The sequence below is a fragment of the Homo sapiens genome, chromosome 10 (assembly GCF_000001405.40).
Source record: "Homo sapiens chromosome 10, GRCh38.p14 Primary Assembly".
Taxonomy (NCBI): Eukaryota; Metazoa; Chordata; class Mammalia; order Primates; family Hominidae; genus Homo; species Homo sapiens.
The window spans coordinates 35,394,418-35,412,204 of record NC_000010.11 but is presented as its reverse complement, the minus strand read 5'-3'; the positions used below and the strand labels follow the sequence as shown (position 1 = coordinate 35,412,204).

Here is a 17,787-nt window from a genome sequence, read left to right as displayed (position 1 = left end):
CCCCTCTGCCCCCTAGTCACAGGATGTGCCCTTGCATTAAGTGGGAGGTCACTTCTCCACCTCCCTGACCTTGGCACCCTCAGCCAATTAGATGGAGGCAAACATGGCATCTTCCCCACCTTGCACTCCAGCCCTTTCCCATGAGAACAGCATGTCTCAGACCCACACAGGAGCTGCTCCTTTGGTCTGAGTCCTGAAGGAAGACACTTGGAACCAAGCACAGCCCTGCAGAGCCACAGTTCACCTGCAACCTTCCCATGATATGAGCAAGAAATTAAGGCTTGTTAGGAAAAGCCAGTGAGACAGTGGTGTTGTTATCATAGCAAATCCATTCCAGATTTAAACACCTTGGTCTCTTTCTTCAAGATGCTATCAAATTTTGCCAAAATCTTCAAATGTGGTGCTAGAACTGCACTAAATACAATAGATATGGCCTGACCATGGAAGAAATCTCTTAGTAGAACATAAAACTTGTCTTGGGTTTCTGCATTCTTTCCCAGGTAGGGGTGAGAAACAGGTTGTCAGATGGAAGAGATATAGTCCACCTTAACCTTGTCTCAAACAATACTGAGGTCAACCCAAATTCCTATGCCTTTATCCCAGAAGGTATTGTATTGTAGAGCCTCCTGTAACTAACTGCAGCCATTTTACATGTATCACTGCTAAATCTTTTTTTTTTTTTTTTTTTTTTTGACAGAGTCTTGCTCTGTCACCCAGGCTGGAGTGCAGTGGCTTGATTTTAGCTCACTGCAAACCTCCACCTCCTGAGTTCAAGCAATTCTTCCTCAGGAGAATCCCCAAGTAGCCGAGATCACAGGCACGCGCCACTATGCCTGGCTAATTTTTGTATTTTTAGTAGAGACGGGGTTTCACCATGTTGGCCAGGCTGGTCTCAAACTCCTGACCTCAGGTTATCCTCCTGCCTCGGCCTCCCAAAGTGCTGGGATTACATGCGTGAGCCACCGCACCCGGCCTATCGCTGCTAAATCTAACATACCAAGATCACTTAAACCCTCAACCATTCAACATTATTAGCTAGAATCTTTTTGTGTTTCAGATTTGAGAAACACACCTTTTTGTCGTCTGAGTCCCTGATGAAATTACTTAACAGATGAGGGTCAAGGCCAGAGTATTCTGACAAAATACTAAAGACAACTGTCCGAGTTAAAATAATGACAACGAAGTTGTACACTGTTTAATCAGTTAAAAGCCCTCACCCTTCACACACCACCATTAATATTCCCAACCAATTTCTCAATATTCTCCAAAAGTTACAAGTCTTCCCCAAATCCAACAACACCAAGTATACTAGCAGTAGTTCTCTAGACCAGCGACATCAGCGTCACCTGGAACTCCAGAAATGCAAACTCCCACCCTACTCCAGACTTACTGTCTCAAAACCCAGCCCTCCAATGACACTGATGCAGATGCAGTTTGAGAAGCAGAGCTCTGGTGCACTTGCCTGTCCTTGGAACAACCCTCTCAAAACTGAAGCTGGTATGCTTGCACTGATTTCTTCTTCTTGAACTTAAGCTTGCTTTTAGTTAGTTAGCTCTTCTTTGTTTTCCAAATGTCCAGAAACTATTTAATCAACCTTTCTATCACCTTTGCCTAGAAGCAAAGTTAAGCTCACCAATCCACAGTGCACAGAAACTCTTTCCTCCCTTTTTGGAAAATTAGGACCCTATTTGCCTTACTTTGTGACATTTTTTTCCCATTGTTAACAATTTCTTAAAATTTATCTGCAGTGTTTCCGTGATCACATGTGTTAGTTCTCTTAGCGTCTGGTTCATCATAATTTTTAAAAGAAAAAAATCTCTTAGAAATTTCTCTCCTTATCTGGGTTTCATGCTGGCATGCCAACAGAGCAGGTGCTGGGAAGAAAGTTGGAGAAAACCAAATTGTTCAGTTGATATCCTCTTCCACTTATTGATCATTTCTCTTTCTCGGTGCTGTTTGAAACGTAAAACTATTTTTCCTCTTTTGTTTTGTCTTTAGCATTTGTGTAAGGCTCAGCTTATTCCAAGCTTTGACACTGTTCAAAGTCTGTGCTTACCATGTGTCTGTCTCTGGCTCCCTCCTCCTGGGTGACAGGACAAGGTTGATATTTTTCCTTCCTTTGCTTTTCTGTACCATCTAAGTTGCACAATCTAACAATCACATGGCTGGTGCAGGGGCTCATGCTTATAATCCCAGCACTTTGGGAGGCTGAGGTGGGAGGATCACTGGAGCCCAGAAGTTCAAGATCAGCCTGGGCAACATAGCAAGACCCTGTCTCTACAAAAAATAAATTAGCCAGGCATGGTAACACATGTGTGTGGTCCCAGCTACTCAAGGTGGGAGGACTGCTTGAGCCTAGGAGTTCATGGCTGCAGTGTGCCGTGATCATGCTACTGCACTCCAGCCTGGGCAACAAAGCAAGACCCTGTCTCAACAAAATAAAACAAAACAATCACAGATTGCTTTTTTCACATAGGGGCAGGAAATCTTTACATTTTTACTTATTTTTGTTTTAACGCAAGCTCTTTGGAGTGTTTCCTATACTGTCTCTCACACATGGGAATTATCTGTAAATCACGGTTTAAATTAAGGTTTTCTTTTTAATTTTAGAATTGCATTTTTCTTTTCCCTCTCTGTTCCTCAGCCTCTCATCACTATGCCCAGACCTCCAGAGAGCACGCCTCCAGTCTTTTTTCTGTTCACAGCTGTTATTTCCCAGCTGCCTACAGTCACTTCACAATGACTCACACTTCTTGAAGTATTGGCCCTAACACAGATGCCCAGACAGCAGCTGCAGTGGCAGCACACCCTCACCACAGCTGGTACCCACACTGAACTTAGTGTGGGAGACTCTCCCAGGAACAGGATCTGAAAAAGGGCAGCAAAGGCTTTTAAGCTGTAACTGTTCTGACCTGGGCACACCCCAGCAAGTTCACTGGCTTGCAACTTGATTCCAATGGGATGACAATGGCAGATGCGAGACCTGCCTGGTAAGGCAGCTGGCAAGGCAGCTGGCCACACTGTACCACAGTCCCCAGCTTGGATTAGGATCAGGAGCTTGACAACTCCTGGTTGCAATACACAATCTAACAGCCATTGGAGGAAAAAAAAGGCCTCCTTAATGTACTTCATTTCTTTGCCCAGTAATAAGCTATTACATAGGGTAAATCTGATTTCTGCTTTCATCTTTGCATTGGGTCAAGACAAAATAACTCTTTTTGTTTTTCTTCATAACTAGAATGAAAAAAAAAAAACAAAAACAAGAATTGAGCAGGGTAATGGGAGGAAAGAACAAAGTAGAGGCATTTATGATGAAATAATACAGTTTGTCTACTTGAATCCATTTCTAGCGTAAACCTCTGCTTACCCCATCTTCAACATTCTCCAGTAAAGCTAGAAATTTTTTTGTTCTTTTTCTCTTCTGATAACTTTCCCTCAACCCATCATATTACTGTCAGGCCTCTGAGCCCAAGCTAAGCCATCATATTCCCAGTGACCTGCACGTATACATCCAGATGGCCTGAAGCAACTAAAGATCCACAAAAGAAGTGAAAAGAGCCTTAACTGATGATATTCTACCATTGTGATTTGTTTCTGCCCTACCCTAACTGATCAATATACTTTGTAATCTCCCCCACCCTTAAGAAGGTTCTTCATAATCTCCCCCACCCTTAAGAAGGTTCTTTGTAATTCTCCCCGCCCTTGAGAATGTGCGAGATCCACCCCCTGCCCCCAAAACATTGCTCTTAACTCCACTGCCTATCCCAAAACCTGTAAGAACTAATGATAATCCCACCACCCTTTGCTGACTCTCTTTTCTGACTCAGCCTGCCGGCACCCAGGTGAAATAAACAGCCTTGTTGCTCACACAAAGCCTGTTTTGTGGTCTCTTCACATGCACATGTGAGACATTTGGTGCCGAAGACCCAGGTCAGCGGGACTCCTTCGGGAGACCAGTCCCCTGTCCTCACCCTCACTCCGTGAAGAGATCCACCTATGACCTCAGGTCCTCAGACTAACCAGCCCAAGGAACATCTCCCCAATTTTAGATCAGGTAAGCAGCCTCTTTTTACTCTCTTCTCCAACCTCTCTCACTATCCCTCAACCTCTTTCTCCTTTTAATCTTGGCGCCACCCTTCAATCTCTCCCTTCTCTTAATTTCAACTCCTTTCATTTTCTGGTGGAGACAAAGGAGACATATTTTATCCATTGACCCAAAACTCCAGCGCCAGTCACGGACTCGGGAAGGCAGACTTCCCTTGGTGTTTAATCATTGCGAGGACGCCTCTCTGATTATTCACCCACGTTCCACTGGTGTCTGATCTCCGTGGGGACGTCTGCCTTGGTCATTCATCCACATTCCCTTGGTGGCAAGTCAAGTGCGGAGACGCCTGCTTTGGCTGCTCCCCACCCCCCTTCTCCGTGTCTCTACCCTTCTCTTTAAACTTGCCTCCTTCACTATGGGCAACCTTCCACCCTCCACTCCTCCTTCTTCTCCCTTAGCCTGTGTTCTCAAGAACTTAAAACCTCTTCAACTCTCACCTGACCTAAAATCTAAGCGTCTTATTTTCTTCTGCAATGCCGCTTGACCCCAATACAAACTCGACAGTGGTTCCAAATAGCCAGAAAACGGCACTTTCGATTTTTCCATCCTACAAGATCTAAATAATTCTTGTCGTAAAATGGGCAAACGGTCTGAGGTGCCTGATGTCCAGGCATTCTTTTACACACTGGTCCCTCCCTAGTCTCTGCTCCCAATGAGAGTCGTCCCAAATCTTTCTTCTTTCTCTCCTGTCTGTTCCTTCAGTCCTAACCCCAAGCGTCTCTGAGTCTTTTGAATCTTCCTTTTCTAGGGACCCATCTGACCTCTCTCCCCTCCTCCCCAGGCTGCTCCTTGCCAGGCCAAGCCAGGTCCCAATTCTTCCTCAGCCTCTGCTTCCCCACCCTATAATCCTTCTATCACCTCCCTTCCCCACACCCAGTCTGGTTTACAGTTTCGTTCCATGACTAGCCCTCCCCGACCTGCCCAACAATTTCCTCTTAAAGAGGTGGCTGGAGCTAAAGGCATAATCAAGGTTAATGCTCCTTTTTTCTTTATCTGACCTCTCCCAAATCAGTTAGCATTTAGGTTCTTTTTCATCAAATACAAAAACTCAACCCAATTCAAGGCCTGTTTGACAACAACCCTTAGACGCTTTACCACCCTAGACCCAGAGGGGCCAGAAGGCTGCCTTATTTTCAATATGCATTTTATTACCCAATCCGCTCCCGACATTAGAAAAAGCTCCAAAAAGCCCCTCTGCCTGGCCGGCCGCCCCGACGGGGACGGAGGTGGGGGGGGGTCAGCCCCCCGCCCGGCCAGCCGCCCCATCCGGGAGGTGAGGGGCGCCTCTGCCTGGCCGCCCCTACTGGGAAGTGAGGAGCCCCTCTGCCCGGCCACCACCCCGTCTGGGAGGTGCGCCCAACAGCTCATTGAGAACAGGCCATGATGACAGTGGCAGTTTTGTGGAATAGAAAGGGGGGAAAGGTGGGGAAAAGACTGAGAAATCGGATGGTTGCCGTGTCTGTGTAGAAAGAGGTAGACATGGGAGACTTTTCATTTTGTTCTGTACTAAGAAAAGTTCTTCTGCCTTGGGATCCTGTTGATCTGTGACCTTACCCCCAACCCTGTGCTCTCTGAAACATGTGCTGTGTCCACTCAGGGTTAAATGGATTAAGGGCGGTGCAAGATGTGCTTTGTTAAACAGACGCTTGAAGGCAGCATGCTCGTTGAGAGTCATCACCACTCCCTAGTCTCAAGTGCCCAGGGACACAAACACTGCGGAAGGCCACAGGGTCCTCTGCCTAGGAAAACCAGAGACCTTTGTTCACTTGTTTGTCTGCTGACCTTCCCTCCACTATTGTCCTGTGACCCTGCCAAATCCCCCTCTACAAGAAACACCCAAGAATGATCAATAAAAAAATAAATAAATAAATAAATAAATAAATAAATAAATAAATAAAATAAAAAAGAAAAAAAAAAAGAAAAAGCTCCAAAAATTAGACTCTGGCCCTCAAACCCCACAACAGGACTTAATTAACCTCGCTTTCAAGGTGTACAGTAATAGAGTAATGGCAGCCAAGTAGCAATGTATTTCTGAGGTGCAATTCCTTGCCTCCACTGTGAGACAAACCCCAGCCACATCTCCAGCACACAAGAACTCCAAACGCCTGAACCACAGTTGCCAGGGGTTCCTCTAGAACTTCCTCCCCCAGGATCTTGCTTCAAGTGCCGGAAATCTGGCCACTGGGCCAAGGAATGCCCGCAGCCCGGGATTCCTCCTAAACCGTGTCCCATCTGTGCAGGACCCCACTGGAAACTGGACTGTCCAACTGGCCCAAGGCTCTGATTGACTCCTTCCCAGATCTTCTCGGCTTAGTGGCTGAAGACTGACACTGCCCAATAGCCTCGGAAGCCCCCTGGACCATGATGGAGGCCAAGCTTCGGGTAACTCTTACAGTGGAGGGTAAATCCGTCCCCTTCTTAATCATTATGGAGGCTACTCACTCCACATTACCTTATTTTCAAGGGCCTGTTTCCCTTGCCTCCATAACTGTTGTGGGTATTGACGGCCAGGCTTCTAAACCCCTTAAAACTCCCCAATTCTGGTGCCAACTTGGACAATATTCTTTTATGCACTCCTTTTTAGTTATCCCCACCTGCCCGGCTCCCTTATTAGGTCGAGACTTTTAACTACATTATCTGCTTCCCTGATTATTCCTGGGCTACAGCTGTACCTCACTGCCACCTTTTGCCCCAGTTCAAAGCCTCCTTCACATCCTCTCCTTGTATCTCCCCTTCTTAGTCCACAAGCATAGGACACCTCTACTCCCTCCTTGACAACAAATGATGCACCCTTTACCATCCCATTAAAACCTAATCACCCTTATCCTGCTCAATGCCAATATCCCATCCCACAGCATGCTTTAAAAGGATTAAAACCTGTTGTCACTTGCCTGTTACAGCATGGCCTTTTAAAGCCTGTAAACTCTCCTTACAATTCCCCTGTTTTACCTGTCCAAAAACCAGACAAGGCTTTTACAGGTTAGTTCAGGATCTGCACCTTATCAACTAAATTGTCTTGCCTATCCACCCAGTGGTGCCAAAGTCATATACTCTCCTATCCTCAATACCTCCCTCCACAACCCCTCCATAACTCATTATTCTGTTCTGGATCTCAAACATGCTTTCTTTACTATTCCTTTGCACCCTTCATACCAGCCTCTCTTCGCTTTCACTTGGACTGACCCTGATACCCATCAGGCTCAGCAAATTACCTGGGCTGTACTGCTGCAAGGCTTCGTGGACAGCCCCTACTACTTCAGTCAAGCCCAAATTTCTTCCTCATCCATTACCTATCTTGACATATTTCTTCATTAAAACATACGTGTTCTCCCTGCTGATTGTGTCCAACTAATCTCCCAAACCCCAACCCCTTCCACAAAACAACAACTCCTTTCCTTCCTGGGCATGTTTGGATACTTTCACCTTTAGATAGCCTCGGAAGCCCCCTGGACCATCACGGATGCCAAGCTTTGGGTAACTCTTACAGTGGAAGGTAAATCCGTCCCCTTCTTAATCAATAAGGAGACTACTCACTCCACATTACCTTATTTTCAAGGGCCTGTTTCCCTTGCCTCCATAACTGTTGTGGGTATTGACGGCCATCCTAACAAAACCATTATATAAACTCACAAAACCAAACCTAGATGACTCCATAGATCCTAAATCCTTTCACCACTCCTCTTTCTGTTCCTTAAAAACAGCCCTAGAAGCTGCCCCCACACTAGCTCTCCCTAACTCATCCCAACCCTTTTCATTACACACAGCCAAAGTGCAGGGCTGTGTGGTCAGAATTCTTACACAAGAACCAGGACCACGCCCTGTAGCCTTTCTGTCCAAACAACTTGGCCTTACTGTTTTAGCCTAGCCCTCATGTCTGTGTGCAGTGGCTGCTGCCGCCCTAATACTTTTAGAGGCCCTCAAAATCACAAACTATGCTCATCTCACTCTCTACAGTTCTCATAACTTCCAAAATCTATTTTCTTCCTCACATCTGACACACATACTTTCTGCTCCCTGGCTCCTTCAGCTGTACTCACTCTTTGTTGAGTCTCCCACACTTACCATTGTTCCTGGCCTGGACTTCAATCCGGCCTCCCACATTATTCCGGATACCACACCTGACCCCCATGACTGTATGTCTCTGATCCACCTGACATTCACTCCATTTCCCCATATTTCCTTCTTTCCTGTTCCTCACCCTGATCACATTTGGTTTACTGATGGCAGTTCCACCAGGCCTAATCACCACTCACCAGCAAAGGCAGGCTATGCTATAGTATCTCCCACATCTATCATTGAGGCTACCGCTCTGCCTCCCTCCACTATCTCTCAGCAAGCCGAACTCATTGCCTTAATTCAAGCCCTCACTCTTGCAAAGAGACCACGTGTCAATATTTATATTGACTCCAAATATGCCTTCCATATCCTGCATCACCATGCTGTTATATGGGCTGAAAGAGGTTTCCTCACTATGCAAGGGTCCTCCATCATTAATCCTCTTTAATAAAAACTCTTCTCAAGGCCGCTTTACTTCCAAAGGAAGCTGGAGTCATACACTGCAAGGACCACCAAAGGACATCAGATCCCATGGCTCAGGGCAACGCTTATGCTGGTAAGGTAGCTAAAGAAGCAGGCAGAATTCCAACTTCTGTCCCTCACGGCCAGTTTTTCTCCTTCTCATCGATCACTTCCACCTACTGCCCTGCTGAAACTTCCATCTATCAATCTCTTCCCACACAAGGCAAATGGTTCTTAGACCAAGGAAAATATCTCCTTCCAGCCTCACAAGCCCATTCTTTTCTGTCGTCATTTCATAACCTCTTCCATGTAGGTTACAAGCCACTAGCCCGTCTCTTAGAACCTCTCATTTCCTTTCCGTCGTGGAAATCTATCCTCAAGGAAATCACTTCTCTGTGTTCCATGTGCTATTCCACTACCCCTCAGGGATTGTTCAGGCCAACCCCCCCCACCCCACCCTTCCCTACACATCAAGCTCAGGGATTTTCCCCCGCCCAGGACTGGCAAATTGACTTTACCCACATGCCCGGAGTCAGGAAACCAAAATACCACTTGGTCAGGGTAGACACTTTCACTAGATGGGTAGAGACCTTTCCCACAGGGTCTGAGAAGGCCACCACAGTCATTTCTTCCCTTCTGTCAGACATAATTCTTCAGTTTAGCCTTCCCACCTCTATACAGTCCCATTAACGGACGGGCCTTTACTAGTCATATTACCCAAGCAGTTTCTCAGGCTCTTGGTATTTAGTGGCTCCTGGTTTTACCTCAAATTGCCACCCTTAAGTCTCTCTTGAAGTGGACAGAAGATCTTCAGTGACAAGGTATCCTCCAATACTTTCACCCTGATGAAGTCCTATTCTTTACTTTTATATTTACTCTTATTCTCATTCCTGTTCTTATGCCACCCTCTACCTCTCCCCAGCTATCTCTACCACACTATCAAATTCACTGTCTCCTAGACGTTTCTAATCCTTCTTTAACAAACAATTGCTGGCTTTGCATTTCTCTTTCCTCCAAAATCACGGAGACCTCAACTTACTCACTGCTAAAAAAAGAGGACTCTCTATATTTTTAAATGAAGACTGTTGTTTTTACCTAAATCAATCTGGCCTGGTATATGACAACATAGAAAAACTCAAGGATAGAGCCCAAAAACTCGCCAACCAAGCAAACAATAACACTGAACCCCTTTGGACACTTTCTAATTGGACATCCTGGGTACTCCCAATTCTTAGTCCTTTAATACCTAGTTTTCTCCTTCTTTTATTCGGACCTTGTGTCTTCCGTTTAGTTTTTCAATTCATAAAAAACTGCATCCAGGCCATCACCAATCATTCTATACAACAAATGTTCCTTCTAACAACCCCACAATATCACCCCTTACCCCAAAATCTTTCTTCAGTTTAATCTCTCCCACTCTAGGTTCCCATGCTGTCCCTAATCCCACTTGAAGCAGCCCTGAGAAACATCGCCCATTATCTCTCCATACCACCCCCAAAAATTTTTGCCACCCCAACGCTTTACCACTATTTTATTTTTCTTATTAATATAAGAAGACAGGAACGTCAGGCCTCTAAGCCCAAGCTAAGCCATCATATTCCCAGTGACCTGCACATATACATCCAGATGGCCTGAAGCAACTGAAGATCCACAAAAGAAGTGAAAATAGCCTTAACTGATGATATTCTACCACTGTGATTTGTTTCTGCCCTACTGATCAATGTACTTTGTAATCTCCCCAACCCTTAAGAAGGTTCTTGGTAATTCTCCCCGCCCTTGAGAATGTACTCTGTGAGATCCACCCCCTGCCCCCAAAACATTGCTCTTAACTCCATCGTCTATCCCAAAACCTATAAGAACTAATGATAATCCCACCACACTTTGCTGACTCAGCCCGCCTGCACCCAGGTGAAACAAACAGCCTTGTTGCTCACACAAAGCCTGTTTGGTGGTCTCTTCACACGCACACATGAGACAATTACTACTGCTAATTTTGAGCAAAAAAAAAAAAAATTCAGAGGGAGAAAGGAAGATGCCTTTGCTTGTACCTCCTAAGAAAAAAAAAAAAGAAAAGAAAATTTCTTTGGGAAATTTAGAATTGATCTCTCTCCTGGCAAAATAAATTTTTGTTATAGCTGTTTAAGAAGGAAACTGGCAGATAATCAGAACTGGACGGCAAAGTGTTTTGTGATCCTCCTGCAGATTCCAGGGTTTCAGTATCACCTCCAGCCATGCTGATTTAACCAGACAGACAGACAGCACTATCACAAAAGAGCACACCTGCAGCTTCCTTTCCTGGTAAGCAAATGGTCCTCTACGCAGTCCTCTGCACTCATCTCTGCCTCTCAGCTCCCTATTCTATTCTTATTAAACCTGAGAAGGAACTATCACAAGGGCAGGTAGAGTCCAACAATTCTAAGCACACAGAGCTCAGTATAAAATTCTACAAAAAATAGGAACTGCTGATGCTCGACAGAGCTGAAACTCAGCTGCCACCTGGGCCGGGGCCGGCCAGTTGCTGGGCCTCCACCCTAGGTGCTGCTGCACACCCTTCAGAGCACAGTTACTTCAGTAAAGTATTCCACAAAGTGTACATTTGAGAAAGTCTCTTCTCTTCTCTACCACCTTCTATTTCTCTCTCAAAAAAAAAGTGCGCATTAAGATAATAGTTCAATGCCATGGTGTGCCTACTATTAAAAAACACACAGTAGTCTGGGAAGTCATGCTAGAGTTTCCACAGCAACTGCACCATGGCTCAACTTGTAACAGCAACCATTCCATTCCAAAATGCTTTAAGAGACTCTAGAAAAGAGAGAGAGAAGTCAAGTTACAATCCCGGGGGAGGAGAAAACACGCCCTTGCTTTCATGTACTTGAATTCTCCCCATCAAAAATACTGTTTAAGTACATATTGCACCATTAATAAATATTCCTGCCCCTAATTATCTAACGAACAGTAGATAACTCTGGAAACAGCTACTGATAATTCTTTTAGTTGGGAGGTTAGAGAAGAGGTTGGTCGGAAAAAATTACTAATATTTTAAAACAGAAATATGCTTTCTCAACAAAGCATATTCTTAACTAAGCATAAAAGGTTACTTCGGGTAATCCAATCAAGTCAGCAATTACAAGGCTCCATTCCACGACGTGAAGCATCTTCTCTCCCTCTTTGAACCAGCTAATTCAAAGAGACCAACCTAAATGCCCCAGGAATTCATTCCCAAGGTGAGGGGAGGGGGAAAACAGGGAGGGATCTGTGCAGCTTCCTCTCCAAGAGGGGAAACAACCCCACCCCACCACCCCCGCCGCCCCCTGCACTGTGCTAGGGAGATTCTAAACAGAATGCCTTTCATCAAACCACTAGAAGCCGTTTTTAGTATTTTACAAAATCCAAAAGAATTCTTCTATAAAACTGCCTACATCAAATAGATGGTGCTGGAAGAAAATCCAAATATACAGAACAGCTATCCACAGGGCTAAAATCAGGCAAGGGAGATCTGCGATGGGAAGCAGGCAGGTGTCAGAAGGGACCCATTGCATGTCCCTTCTCTGAGACTCCAGCTCCACATATTTTCTGAGTCCCCATGTAAACTGGAGAACATACCTAGCCTTCCATGTCAACAGAACTTTATCTCTACTAGCCATGTATCTTATTCCAAAAACAAAAACACCAGTTTGGAGGTCAATCCTGTGTTCAGCCAGAACATCTCCAATCTACAGGAAGAAGTCTTCTCAGGGTTTGCTACATAACAGTCAGAATTTTCTCCCCCGCATGGCACTGAAGGGAGCATATTACTGGGATCTGCTAAGGGGGAGTCCAGTTATGTATCTCCCTATCAGTACTCCGCACATAAAAGATCTACTGCAGAAGAGAGATAACCCCTTATCTTTTATGTTTATTTTTGTAGAGACAGACTCTCGTTATGTTGCCCAGGCTGGTCTTGAACTCCTGGCATGAAGCAAACCCCCTACCTTGGCCTCCCAAGTGTTGGGATTAACAGCGTGAAACACCACACCCATCCTGCTCCTTTTCAATTGAGGAAGCAGAATAGCCTGTGCCTCCCTTCACACCTTGAATTAAACAGCGTTGTGTCCTGTGTCGGCCACCTGGCAGGCAGGCTGGTCTGTAAGTCATGTCACCTTCTCACCACTTCACACACTAGTACCCAAATTCTGTGGTGGAGTAAAAAGACTTCCAGAAAAGTGGAGTAGACACCCAAGACACCAGTCCCCGAGAAGTAACCTCAAACATGGATAAGCATCCTGGGCAGTCAAGCCAAGAGTTAGCAGCCAGACATGCAGTCCACAGCCTCCACGGCCCAGCAGGGAGCTACGACCTCACCATGCTCAACAGGAACATCCAAAATGCCACCCTCACTTTCAAAGTGCCCTTAGTTGTCTTACCGTCAAGCACACATGGTTAAAAAGCAGGAACTTTATAAAATGTGGGAAGAAACCATGTGAGAAACCCAATCAGCTCATGCTTTCAAGTCAGTTGGGTTCTCAAAGTTCATTTGTACATTTGCTTGGAACTTAAAATGCATTTCTGCAGCGAGTCTGCTACAAGCCTACGCTATAAGGGACTGACATACCAAGCTGAAAGGCCAGGAAAGCAAGCACGGCGTATGTCTGATTCTTCACAGGGGCAGCTCTGTCAGGCAAGGCAGGCCTTATCCCTTCCCAGGCTCCACCAGTTCTCAGGCTAAACCCCTTCTCAGAATAGCCTGGGAATATCTTACCCTCACAAATGTGGTCTGGTTAAACTAAATAAAAATTGAGCATATTTTCAGTGATTTTAAAGGAAGAAACTTGTAAGGGTATTTTATCTGCAAATTTACTTAACTGGTCACTTTACGGTTTTTTGTTTTGTTTTGTTTTTAGACAAAAACTAGTGAGCATTTTGTAAAATGCAGGGAGAGCCCCACCAAGAGCAGTTAGCAAAACTTACAGCCTTAGGAGTTTGAATTACACAATGACATCTCGAGAACCATATGGTAAACGATTTCTACCACCGGGAACTTGGCAATGCCCTAATCACACACAGCTGTTGGTCCCAGCAGTCAAAACATAGGAACTGGACCAGCCAGACACATAAATGACCCCAAGTAGTGACCAAATCATGGGGCTCCACAGTCGTAACAAAAGGACCTGAGAGGATTAGCACAGGCTGCATTTCCGAATCTCCGCCATGCAAAAGGACACGTGTTGGTCACTTCCAAGGAACACAACCTGTATCTATATCATGTCCACCAAGGACCTTGCTGGCTTTTAAGCCACTTCCATGTCTCTGGCAAAATGCATCAGTCCTCTGAGAGGATCACAATCACATCTGTCCCCATACTCACTGCAGAGAATGGAGGGCCAGCTCTGCCCACAGTCGGGGCCCTAGGCTCCAGGGGGTGGCTCTCATGCAGCAGACGGGACCCCCACTGGCTTCCTGGTCATGCTCCTTGATCATATGGCTTTGCTCTCAGCCTCCACGGGCCCCAGGAAGCCCAGCTACTACCCTCCCTGCTGCCTCCATCCATGCCCACTCCACATGGATGAGGGTGTTTCTCCTCCAGCACTGCTCAGAGAACAGAGTCTGGTCTCACTGTGCCTCCCCTTCCCTCGGCCCTGGAAGCAAGCACATCACCAGAGGGGGAAGTCCTGCCTATATTGCACCAGCACTCCTCTGGGAATCCTCACTCAAGGTTAGCAACTGGCAATTTAAGGTCCTCTCTTTAATCCACCTAAGGATCAAAATGAGAAACTGGAAGGACAGCAGAGGGAAAGGACACACATGCATCCAGGCAGGAGAGATGCAGCAGCCCACACACAGCTGGGGCCATTTCTGATAGAGCTCCATAATTCTGGAATCTCCTGGGATGGTTCAGACATAACTCAAGCACTGCCAGCACTGCTGCTCCTAGCCCAAGTTCTCAGTCTTTGGTCCCAGGGACAGGGTTCATTTGGTACCCTGCATACAAGGCTGACCTGACCTTAGAAGAAGTGTTATTCTCTCCCACCGCCAATGTTGTGTCTCTCCCCTACCTCCTAGAATTCCTCCTCCCCAATCCAGGGCCAAAGAGGGAAATGGTATCCCCATCAGAGACTAATTCTGCCCTCCAAAGTAACTGAGTACCTCTAAGGTAGGGTCTGCGACAAGCTACCTCCCAGAGATAAGGGGGGAAGGAAGCAAGAGCTAGCTCCTTAGGATCCCAAAGGTACAATATTTGCTGCTGAATAATTATAAAGGTTAGGGAACTTAGTGGAAGGATTACAGGTACTGTGCTAAATATAATGACATGGGGTAAGTAGGTTTGAAGGGAGGAACCACTAGAGACACCACTGCTGCCTGCACAAGGCCGGCTACCAGAACAACTTCAACACTTTTGTTTTGTTTCCACTTTTCTTCTGAATACAAAGGTTTCCTACTAGCTCCAAGTTTGTTGTATGCGTGTGTTTTGCACAAAAGTCCACAGAGCAGTGGCAGAGGGACCCCAGCCCTAGGAAGAACAGGGCTATGTGGTAAAGTGTGGGGTCCAAGGGGCACCTGGAGCTGCCACGTGAGCAGTGCTAAGAACCTGCTCCCTCTGAGCCAGCCCCCAGAACTGTAACAGGCAGAAAAATTGATCTCTCTCCAGTACTTTGAATTTTCCTTACCCAACAGGAGATGGGATTATAACCCTTTGTAATTGGAATCCTAGAAAACCCAGAGCTTAGAGGAATCCTGCAAGCCAGACAAGGCTGCCTGAACAGTCTGCGCCTCCAGATCCTGCCTTGGGAGCCTCACGGGGAGAGCACGAAGAGGACTGCAGGGGCACTGGGACACAGCACCCAGCAACTCAAGCACCTCCAGCGACTGCTCCCACGCTGCAGGGTAGGAGTGCCTGGCCCAGCAGGAATCCTCTTTTCTCATGGGAAGCGTCCCTGAGGCCTAGGTGAAACTGTCTGGACCTCCTCACCAGCCCTTGGGGCAAGGCTGGAGCGCTCTCTCCCCACCATGGCCTTGCCAGATGCCGAGAACACGCAACAGAGAAATGGTTCATTTCAGAGTCAGTGAGAACATCGGGGCACCCTGGCCCATTAACAGTACCAGAGAGGCAGCATAACATTCAATTACGGAGGGCCAAGAAGGAGGGCTCATTCTCCAACCTGCAGATACTCAGGCTGGCTGCCCCCCACCCCACCTTCTTGCGGCACCTGCCTCTTACAACTCAGCTGTAGGGTGGGGAGCAGAGCACAGATGGGGAGGTGAAACTCCAGTCGGCCTGTCTGGTGAGTGCTTTGGGAAGGTGTGAGAATGAAATGACCTGTTGAGAGAAAGCTTTTAAAATAATTATAGCTTTCCATACTCCAGGCTCTCTCAACTAGTTTCTACACTGTGATCCCCCGATCCTACCACCATGAGTATAAAGAACTGAACCCAATTTTCACAAACAATCTTCATTGCTTCACACACTACATATCAAGCACCTGCTATGTGCAAAACGCCATGCTGGGGACGAGAGGATGAAAGAGCCAGTCAGTATCCCAGCCCTCTGGAGCCCACCATTCACAGAGGCAAAAAGAGGGAGCCACCACAGCATAACACAGTAACATGCACACTGAGACAGACCCAAAGCCTCTCTCGGGGGCCCTATGCACCCCACAACACCCGCACACTGGGCCAGCTGGGGATGCTGTAAAACCTCCGCAAAGGGTGAGTGCTGCCCCCATCCCCAGGAGCCACTGGAGAGGCCCAGCCCTAAACCCAGCCTCAGAGATGCACCCAGGACAGCTGAAGGTGAGGGTTTGTCCTTTCAACTGAAAAAAGACAGTGCACAGGACCTAAAAGTAACACACAACCAGGCGCTGACAGCGTCTCTCTCTTACCAAACTTTAGTCGGACTGCTCTGAAGGCTCTTCCAAAATGGACCTCCACCTTTGGCCCTCCATATCTTTCTTTGCGTCTCCTGACTTTGGCAAAAGCCCTGCTAAGTCAGTTTAGCTGAATTGCCCCCCTCCTCAACATCTGATCACCCTCAATATCTGATGTGTTCCTCGTCCTCTACTGTCCCCCACAACCCCCCAGGTGACATCTGATTCTCCTGACTTATCCTCAGCAAGAATCCTCGTTGGGTCAGTTGAGCTAGAATCCCCCTAACCCCTGAGGTTACCTCTAGTAATTTCCATACAATGACCTTCGCACTGCTCCTTGGTTCTGAATTCCCAGTGGCCCATGCTGCACTTGCCATTGAGCCTGGTTTTATACTGGAATCTCTCCTCCCCTACTGCAATAGTTTTCCTGAGTAAAACTGTTTTCACCACCTTAACTACTACCCAGCTCTGGCTTTTTTCTCTAACAATGGAACAACACATAGCTTTTCCTGAGGAAGCCAGTACTATTACCCATCACTTTCTGGTAAAAACTTCTTAACTGTTAGTACCCCAGGTAGTGAGACCGCAGGGAGAAGACTGAGGGAGTCACCTGTCTGAGTCATCTTTAAGGGAGCACACTACATAGGAAAGTGAGGATAAACTAGAACTATTACTTTATTAAAGCAAACAAGGCTGCTTCATAATACTTCTAGCTTTCTTCTTCAACTCCAAATTTTTAATTCCTATTGTGGGGCGGGGGAGGGTGGGAAGAATATGTGGCGAATGGATGTGAAGTTTCCAAAGAGAAGCCCTCAGTGAGTTTTACAATACTCCCATTTAATTTTCCAAGGCACAGACTCACAGTATTCAGAAGGAGAGGGCCCGTGATGAAACACTTTCTCCTGCTTTCAGCCACTGGGGTCACCTAAACAGGAGAATATGGTGTGGTCACCAAGGCCCTTCAAAACAGAGGTTAAGTAAGGAATGAAAAACATGCCCTAAAAACAAAACAAACAAAAATCTTGAACTAAAAGGCACAAGATGTCAGAGATACTTTAAATATTAACAAGTGTCTATGCGACAGCATACCAAAAGACCAGCCTGGCTGAGAACCAACTCAGCGTGAAAGCCATGAAGTGCCACCCTGCACCTCTGACCGGTCCAAACAATGCCTTGAAGCCGGCCGTGTGACCCATACACTTCAACTTCAGATAGGATCTTAAGCCAATCAACCTAACCCCCCTTGTCCCCATCATGAGTCTTTTAAACAAATGTGAGTTACTCAAGTCTGCAATCAAATGAACGCTTTTATCAAACAATTTA

At 46.4% G+C, this 17,787-nt stretch overlaps 1 protein-coding gene across 5 annotated transcripts in view; it reads right to left on the bottom strand.

Annotated features, from left to right (window-relative positions):
* CCNY (cyclin Y) overlaps positions 1 to 17,787 on the bottom strand; it is a 325,643-nt gene that overhangs the window by 160,463 nt on the left and 147,393 nt on the right. The window contains exon 2 of one of the 5 annotated variants that reach the window (NM_001282853.2): positions 17,327 to 17,389. The exons of the other annotated variants lie outside the window; for them this stretch is intronic. The gene's annotated coding sequence lies outside the window, so the exon portion shown is untranslated. The remainder of the gene's footprint in view (positions 1 to 17,326; positions 17,390 to 17,787) is intronic. 5 annotated transcript variants of the gene reach the window in all.